This window comes from Homo sapiens, chromosome 6 (assembly GCF_000001405.40).
Source record: "Homo sapiens chromosome 6, GRCh38.p14 Primary Assembly".
Lineage (NCBI taxonomy): Eukaryota > Metazoa > Chordata > Mammalia > Primates > Hominidae > Homo > Homo sapiens.
In genome coordinates this window covers 164,813,327-164,822,510 of record NC_000006.12, presented here as the reverse complement: position 1 = coordinate 164,822,510, position 9,184 = coordinate 164,813,327, and the positions used below count along the sequence as shown (strand labels likewise).

Here is a 9,184-nt window from a genome sequence, read left to right as displayed (position 1 = left end):
AAATCTTGGCTATTGTGAACAGAGCTGTAACAAACATAGTAGTGGCAGTTATCTCTTCAATATATTGAATTCCTTTCTTTTGGGTATATACCCAGCAGTGGGATTGTTAGATCATACGGTAGATCTCTTTTTAGATTTTTGGGGAACCTCCAAACTGTTATCCATAGTTGTTTTACTAATTTACATTCCACCAACAGTGTATGAGGGTTCCCTTTTCTTCACAGCCTCATCAGCATTTGTTATTGCCTGTCTTTTGGATACAAGCCATTTTAACTGCGGTGAGATGATATTTCACTGTAGTTTTGATTTGCATTTGTGTGATGATCAATGATATTGTGCATGTTTTCATATGCCTACTAGCCTCATAGAATGAGTTTGGAAGTATTCTTTCCCCCTCCATTTTTTGAAACAGTTTGAGTAGTATTGCTATTATTTCTTTAACTGTTTAGTAGAATTCAGCAGTCAAGCCATTGGGTCCCAGGCTTTTCTTTACTGGGAACATTTTTATTTCAGCTTCAATTTCTTCACTTGTTAGTCTGTTCAGGCTTTGGATTTCTTCCTGGTTCAATCTCGGTAAGTCGTATGTGTCTAGGAATTTATCCATTTGTTCTAGATTTTCCAATATACTAGCATATAGTTGCTCACAGTAGCCACTATCTTTTGAATATCTGCAGTATCAGTTGCAATGTCTTCTTTTTCATCTCTGATGTTATGTATTTGAATCTTCTCTCTTTTTATCTTAGTCTAGCTAAAGGCTTGTCAATTTTGTTTAACTTTTCAAAAAAACCAACTTTTTGTTTCATTGATCTTTTGTATTATTTTCCTTATTTCATTTATTTCTGCTTTGTTCTTTATGATTTCATTTTTCTACTAATTTTGGGTTTGGTTTGCTTTTGCTTTTGCTTTTCCAGTTCTTGAAGATGTATTGTGAGGCTGTTTATTTAGAGTTTTCCTTCGTTTTTGATGTAGGCACTTATAGCTTTGAACTTTCCCCTTATATTGTTTTTATTGTATCCCATAGGTTTTGGTCTATGTTTCCATTATTATTTGTTTCAAAAATCTTTTCAATGTCCTTCTTAATTTATTCATTGATCCAATGGTGATTTAGGAGCATATTATGTAATTTCCATGTAATTGTGTACTTTTCAAAATTCTTCTTGGTATTAATTTCTAGTTTTATTCCATTGTCATTAAAGAAGATGCTTGATATTATTTCAATTTTTAAAAATATTTTAAGACTTGTTTTGTGACCTAACATATGATCTATTCTTGAGAAAGAACCATGTGCTGAGAAAAAGTATGTGTATTCTGCAGCCATTGAGTGAAATGTTCTGTAAATATCTATTAGACTCATGTGGTTTACAGTACAGATTAAGTCTGATGTTTCTTTGTTGATTTTCAGTCTAGAAGATCGGTGCAGTGCTAAAAGCAGGGTGTTGAAATGTGCAACTATTATTGTATTGGGATCTATCTCTCTCTTTAGCTCTAATAATATTTGCTTTATATATCTGGGTGCTCCAGTGATGGGTGCATATATTTACAATTATTGTATTCTCCAGCTGAATTGACCCCTTTATCATTGTATAGGACCTTCTTTGTCTCTTCTTATATTAATAAATGTCTTGAAATCTACTTTGTCTGATGTTAGTAAAACTCCTGGTCTTTTTTTGGTTTCCATTGGCATGGAATATCTTTTTCCATCTCTTTATTTTCAGTCTATGTGTGTCTTTATAGGTGGAGTGTTTCTTATAGGCAACAGATCAGTGGGTCTCTCTCTCTCTCTCTTTTTTTAAAATTCATTCAGCCACTCTATGTCTTTTGATTGGAGATGTTAGTCTATTTACATTCAGTGTTATTATTCATAAATAAGGACATGCTCCTTCCATTTTGTTATTTGTTTTTGGTTGCTCTGTGGTCTTCGCTTCCTTTCCTTTCCTTCCTGTCCTCCATTAGTGAAGGTGATTTTTCTCTGGTGATGTGATTTAATTTCTTGCTTTTTATTTTTTGTGTATCCATTGCATGTTTTTTGTTTTGAGGTTACCCGTGAGGCTTGCAAATACTGTCTTATAACCCATTATTTTAAGCTGATAATAACTTAGCACTGTTTGCCTAAACAAACTAACAAGCAAAAAGAAAACTAGTAAAGACTCATCACTTTAACTTCGTTACTCTTCTTTTTAACATTTTTTGTCACTATATCTTACTGTACTGTCTATGTCTTGAAAAGCGTTGTAGTTATTATTTTTGATTGGTTCATGGTTTAGTCTTTCTACTTAGGATAAGAGTAGTTTACACACTACAGTTACAGTGTTATAATGTTCTGTGCTTTTCTGTTTACTATTAGCAGTGAGTTTTATACCTTCAGGTGATTACTTATTGCTCATTAATATCCTTTTCTTTCTGATTGAAGCACTCCTTTTAGCATTTCTTGAGGTATGAAAGCCCTTAGCTTTTCTTTATCAGGGAAAGTATTTATTTCTCCTTCATGTTAAAGGATAATTTCACCAGATATACTATCCTAGAGTAAAGTGTGTGTGGTTTTTTTCCTTCAGCACTTTAATTATGTCATGCCACTCTCTCCTGGACTGTAAGGTTTCCACTGAAAATTCTGCTGCTGCCAGATGCGTTGGAGCTCCATTGTATTTTATTTGTTTCATTTCTTTTGCTGCATTTAGGAACCTTTCTTTCTCCTTGATCTATGGGAGTTTGATTATTAAATACCTTGAGGTTAAATCTGCTTGGTGTTCTATAACCTTCTTGTACTTGGATATTAATATTATTCTCTAGGTTTGGGAAGTTCTCTGTTACTATCCCTTTGAATAAACTTTCTACCCTTATCTCTTTATCTCTTCTTTAGGGCCAATACCTCTTAGATTTGCCCTTTTAAGGCTACTCTCTGTATCCTGTAGGCATGCTTTATTGTTTTTTATTCTTTTTTCTTCAGTCTCCTCTGACTGTGTATTTTCAAATAGCCTGTCTTCAAGCTCACTAATTCTTTCTTCTGCTTGATTAATTCTGTGATTAAAAGACTCTGATGCATTCTTCAGTTGTATTTTTCAACTCCATAATTTCTCCTGTATTTTAAATTATTGCAATCTCTTTGTTAAATGTATCTGATAGAATTCTGTATTCCTTCTCTGTGTTATCTTGAACTTCATTGAGTTTCCTCAACACAGCTGTTTTGAATTATCTGTCTGAAAGGAAACATATCTCTGTTTCCCCAGGATTGGTACCTGGTGACTTATTTAGTTTATGTGGTGTGGTTATGTTTCCCTGGATGGTGTTGATGCTAGTAGATATTCTTCAGTGTCTGGGCATTGAAGAAGTAGGGATTTCTTTTAGTCTTTGCAGTCTGGGCTTACTTGCCCTTCTTGGGAAAACTTTCCAGAAATTCTAAAGGACTTGGCTATTGTGATCTAAGCTGTATCTGCTTTAGGGGGAAACCCAAATCCAGAAGTGCTGTGGTTCCAGCAGACTTGTAGAGGTACTTCCTTGATGGTCTTGGACAAGATCCAAAATAATTTTCTGGATTACCAGACAGACTTTTGTTCTCCTCCCTTACTTTCTCCCAAGCAAGCAGAGTCTCTCTTTATTCTGAGCTACCTGGACCTAGGGGTGGAGTGACATAAGCACCTGTGTGGCCATCACCCCTAAGACTGAGTTGAGTCAGACCTGAAACCAGCACAGCACTGGGTCTTGCCCAAAGCCTGCTCTAATGACTCCCTAACTACTGCCTATGGTTGCTCAAAACCCTGGCACTCTAAAATCAGCAGATGACAATTCTAGTCAGGCCTATGTCCTTCCCTTTGGGACAGAAAGTTACCCCAGGCCCTAGGGGCATACAGAGGTGCCAACCAGGAGCCAGGAGCTAGAGCCAAATACCTTTGAAGTCTATCTGGTGTTCTGCTGTACTGCAGCTGAGCTGGCAGTCAAACCACAAGGCACAATCCTTCCCACTCGTTCCTCCCCTTGCCAAAGGCAGAAGAGCCTCAGCCCATGGCGACCACCACCTCAGGCCCATTAGTAGTACAGCCAAACGGCCGGACGTGGTGGCTCAGCCTGTAATCCCAGCACTTTGGGAGGTCGAGGCGGGTGGATCACGAGGTGAGGAGATCGAGACAATCCTGGCTAACACGGTGAAACCCCGTCTCTACTAAAAATGCAAAAAAATTAGCCAGGCATGGTGGCGGGCACCTGTAATCCCAGCTACTCGGGAGGCTGAGGCAGGAGAATCTCTTGAACCTGGGAAGCAGAGGTTGCAGTGAGCCGAGATCGTGCCACTGCACTCCAGCCTGGGTGACAGAGCGAGACTGCATCTCAAAAAAAAAAAAAAAGAAGTATAGCCAAACCACCGTTGACATTCCCTTTAGGCCCATAGGTTCCTCAGTTAGCTCGTGTTGAATGCTGCCTGGCCTGGGGCTCACCCTGGCTCCTCTCTAAGACAGAGTGTGTCCAGAAATGCCATCCAAGAGCCAAGTTCTGGAACTGGGGACCTTAAAAGCCTGTTTGCTGCCCTACCCCGCTGTGGCCAAGATGGTACTTAAGGTACAAGACAAAGTCCCCTTTACTTTTTCCTCTGCTTTTCTTAAGTAGAAGGAGTCTTACTCTATAACCACCTTAGTTGGGAATGTCCTCAGTTTCACCTGAGGTCAGCAAGTTTCAGCATCTCACCTAAGGCCCTCAACATAATACTTGGGTGTCACTGCTGGTTATTCATGGCCCAAGGACTCCTCAGTTAGCAGGTGATGGATCCTTCCTGAGGGGAGTTCTTTCCTTCAAGACAGTGAATTCCTTCCTTTGGTTCTCTTCTGGCCCAGGGTATGTCTACAAATATTTGGGAGCTAGGGCCTAGAACAGGGGCCTCACAATTCTGACTGGTGCTTTATCATGCTGTGGCTCAGCTGGTACCCGAGATGCAAGACAAACTCATACCCACTCTTTGACATCCTCTCCTCAAGAAGGAAAGAAGGGTCTGTTTTGGAGCTGTGAATTGTGCAGCCTGGGGTTAGGGGAGGAGAGATGCCAGCACTCTCTTAGCCACCCCAGTTGGTATCTCAGTAGGTCATGTACTCTCCCGGTCCATTGTCTCAGCCCAGTTCAGCCCTAGGACTTGCTTTAGGTGTTGCAGTCCTTGTGGTCTAGACTGCCTTTCAAGTTTATTTGAGGCCCCATTGCATCTTAGCCCATGGTGGTGAGGCTTATAGATTTTTGCATCATCATTCTCTCATTAATTTTTTTCATGGAAATCCCTCCTGGCATGCTATTCCCAATGAATTAGTCTCTCTTTCTCTCTTCACTTATGTACTATATATATAGTACTTCATATATATATATGTATATAGATTATATTTGTATACATATTCATTTTGTTTATTCTTTTTCTAATTCAAATAATTTTGCAAGAAACCTCTTTATGTTCTAGTACTTTAATTTCTATAGGTTAAATTGAAGAGTGAAGTTTTATTGTTAAAATATATGTGTATATATATTATTCTTTATAATTTGATAGATGTTGTCAGATTATTTTCTAAACAAAAGTAGTATCGTTTCTCACTTTCATCAGAAATGTTTGAAAGTATTCTTTACCACACATACCCTATTGGAAATAGTTTTTGTAGCTTATATATTTTCAGACTGACTGATACGAAGTTATATATTATTGTATATTTATTTACATTTGTCTGAATACTAGTGAATTTGATCTTTTCATATGTTTCATGGCCTTTCAATTTGCACTTCTATTGATCATTATGTTTCAGTTGCTCTTGCATTATTTGTTTCCTTCTTGTAAATCTGTAGTTGTCATTTTATATTATAACTAGTAACACATTATCATCTTCATAATAAATTTTTCCAGCTCACATGTTTTTCTACTGGCATTTTTCACAGTAACTTTTGCTATATAAAAGTTTAAATTTTTCTGTAATTCAATATGCCAATTTTCCTTTTAAAAATGCCTGGGCTTCAAGCCTTGGTTAAAAAGAGAATCGCTCCGACCCTTATTTTTAGTCCCCTAGGTTTTCTGTAAGCATTAACTTTTCTGTTGGCATTTACTTTTTTAACATTCAGCACCTTTAATTTATCTAAAATGTGCTTTAGAATATGGTTTAAGATATGTGTGAATGTAGAATCCCTGTATGTGTCTTCTGGACAGACAGCCAACTGTGGCAATACCATTCATTAAAGAATCTATTGATTTTTGATTGAATTATGCTAATGCCTGTGTGACATACTGACATCCACATGTGTTTCACTGATTGATTTCTCTAATTTCATGTTTCAGTAGCAGTCAACTAGCTTATCATGTTTTACAAACACCCCAAAATGTCCTTGTTTTACACCAACAAATGTAGATTTGCTGCTCATTCTGCACATGTGATGCACCTATTTTGAGATCTGTGGTGAAGCAGTCTCTGTTTACATGCATCCTTCCACTATCACACAGCAAAGAGAAGGGACACATGGTGAAGCACTCACTTGTGTTTCTGCCTGGAGACACACTCAGTATCTATGCTCGTATTTCATTGACTAAAGCAATTCACATGGTCATATTACTTTAAGAAGAATGGGAAAATACCAGAAGAAGTAGAATAATTATTAAGAACCATAATGTTCCTCTTCCATACAAATACCCTACTGATTTGATTAGTATTTTTGATAATGTGAATCAGTCTGTTTTATCAATTCGAAAATTCCTTAGTCTTTTTCTCTTCAAATACTGCATCCACCACCTTTTCTATCTTTAGTCTCTTACTGGGGAAATAGACTATGTCTGACTTTCTAATTTTATCTCCATTGTTTTTTATTATTTTCCATTTCAGACTCTTTGCCCTCTATGCTACAAAGAGGACAAAATAAATTATTTTGTTGTATTTTTCTATCCAATAATTTCTTTTCCGGTTGTGTCTGTTTTAAAAAATATATATAAGATTTTACTTCATTTTTAGCGTTTTTCATTTGCAGAAGTTCTGGTTAGTGTTTTTGCAGGATTGCTAAGACATTTTTAATAAGTCCCTATTTTCTGAAATTCTTTCAAAGTTAATTTACATTTATTCAATCACAGTAAGATAATTGCTGGTATGGTTTGGCTCTGTGTCCCCACCCAAATCTCATCTCAAACTGTAATCATCATGTGTCAAAGTGGGAGGTGATTAGGTCATGGAAGTGGAGTTGTCCATATTGTTCTCATGATAGTGAGTGAATTCTCATGAGATCTGATGGTTTTACAAGTGTTTGGCAGTCCCCACATTGCCCTTTTTTTCTCCCGCCACTAGGTAAGACTTGCCTTGCTTCCCCTTTACCTTCCACCATGATTGTAAGTTTCCTGAGGCTCTCCAACCCATACGGAACAGTGAGTCAATTAAAACTCTTTTGTTTATAAATTACCCAGGCTCAGGCAGTATCTTCATAACAGTGTGAGAATGAACTAATATAGATAATTGGTACTGGGAGTGGGGTACTGCTATAAAAATGACCTGAAATTATGAAAGAAACTTTGGAACTGGGTAATGGGCAGAGGTTGGACCAGTTTGGAGGGCTCAGAAGACAGGAAGATGTGGGATAGTTCAGAATTTCATAGAGGCTTATTGAATGCTTTCAACCAAAATGCTGATAGTGACATAGATAATGAAGTACTGGATAAGGTGGTCTCAGATGGAGATGAGGAACTTATTGGGAACTGAAGCACAGGTCATGCTTGCTATGCTTAGGCAAAGAGACTAGCAGCATTTTGTCCCTGTCCTAGAGATCTATGGAACTTTGAATTTGAGAGACATGGATTTAGGATATCTGCCAGAAGAAATTTCTAAGCAGCAAAGCACTAATTTTGAACACATTCAGGTTTATGCATCATTTACAGAGATGATTTGAAATTGGAACACATTTTTAAAAGGGAAACAGAGCATAAAGGTTTGGAAACATTTGCAGCCTAACCATGTGGAAAAAAGAAAAAAAGAAGACATTTTCTGGGAGGAATTCAAGCCCAAAGAACTTTGCATAAATAACAAGGAGTCAGATGTTAATAATTAAGACAATGGGTCAAATGTCTCCAGGGCATGTCAGAGTCCTTAGTGGCAGCCCCTTCCATCACGGGCCTGGAGGCCTAGGAGAGAAAAATGGTTTTGTGGGCTGGGCCAAGGGCCCTACTGCTCTGTGCACCTTCATGACATGGTGACCTGCGTCCCAGCTGCTCCAGCTCCATCTGTGACTAAAAGGGGCTGTGATGGTTAATATTAACTGTCAACTTGATTGGATTGAGGGATGCAAAGTATTGTTCCTCAGTGTGTCTGTGAGGGTGTTGCCAAAGGAGATTAACATTTGAGTCAGTGGACTGGGAGAGGCAGACCCACCCTCAATGTAGATGGGCATCATCCAATCAGCTGCCAGCATAACTAGAATAAAGCAGGCAGAAGAAGGTGAGAGAAGTCAACTTCTTGGGATTTCTGGCTTTCATTTATCTCCTGTGCTAGATACTTCCTGCCTTGAACATCAGACTCCAAGTTCTTCAGCTTTTGGACTCTTGGACTTAAACCAATGGTTTGCCAGGGGCTCTTGGGCCTTTGGCCACAGACTGAAGGCTGCACTGTCAGTTTCCCTACTTTTGAGGTTTTGAGACTTGGACTGGCCTCCTTGCTCCTCAGCTTGCTGACAGCCTATTGTGGGACTTCACCTTGTGATCCTGTGAGTCAATTCTCTTTCATAAGCTCCCTTTCACATATACATCTATCCTATTAGTTCTATCCCTCTAGAGGACACTAATACAGATTTTGGCACTGGGAGTGGTTCTAGAGGAACAGAATTTTAAGAGTGGATTTTTTTGTTGCTGGTTTTGGGATTTCTGAAGTTGGCTGCTTAATCTAATTAGACCCAAAATGCTAGGGTCTCTACTTTTAATAGTATGGAGAACACTGACAGTTCCTGACATGAACTGTTTAAAGAGTTATTCAAAATAAATGCATTTAAAACCTCTGATTTACCACTCTTGAGAGGCAAGAAGTTTAGTGACTGTATACATAGTACCTTCAACCGTATGTGGAGAACCAAGGAATATAATGAAATTGATTAGTTGCTCCTAAATTTGCTGAAGAAAATTATGAAAGAAAAGGACGAGCTCAGGGATTCTTACGCCCAGTTCCAGAAGCACATACTGAGCCTCCAGTCTTCTACAGTTGCCTTGAGTGAGAGT

The 9,184-nt window shown here is 38.3% G+C and overlaps 1 long non-coding RNA gene across 1 annotated transcript in view; it reads left to right on the top strand.

Annotated features, from left to right (window-relative positions):
* Positions 1-447: 447 nt before the first annotated feature.
* Positions 448-9,184, top strand: part of MEAT6 (melanoma-associated transcript 6) — a 28,687-nt gene continuing 19,950 nt past the window's right edge. The window contains exon 1 of the long non-coding RNA NR_131926.1: positions 448-573. This is a non-coding gene — a long non-coding RNA (melanoma-associated transcript 6). The remainder of the gene's footprint in view (positions 574-9,184) is intronic.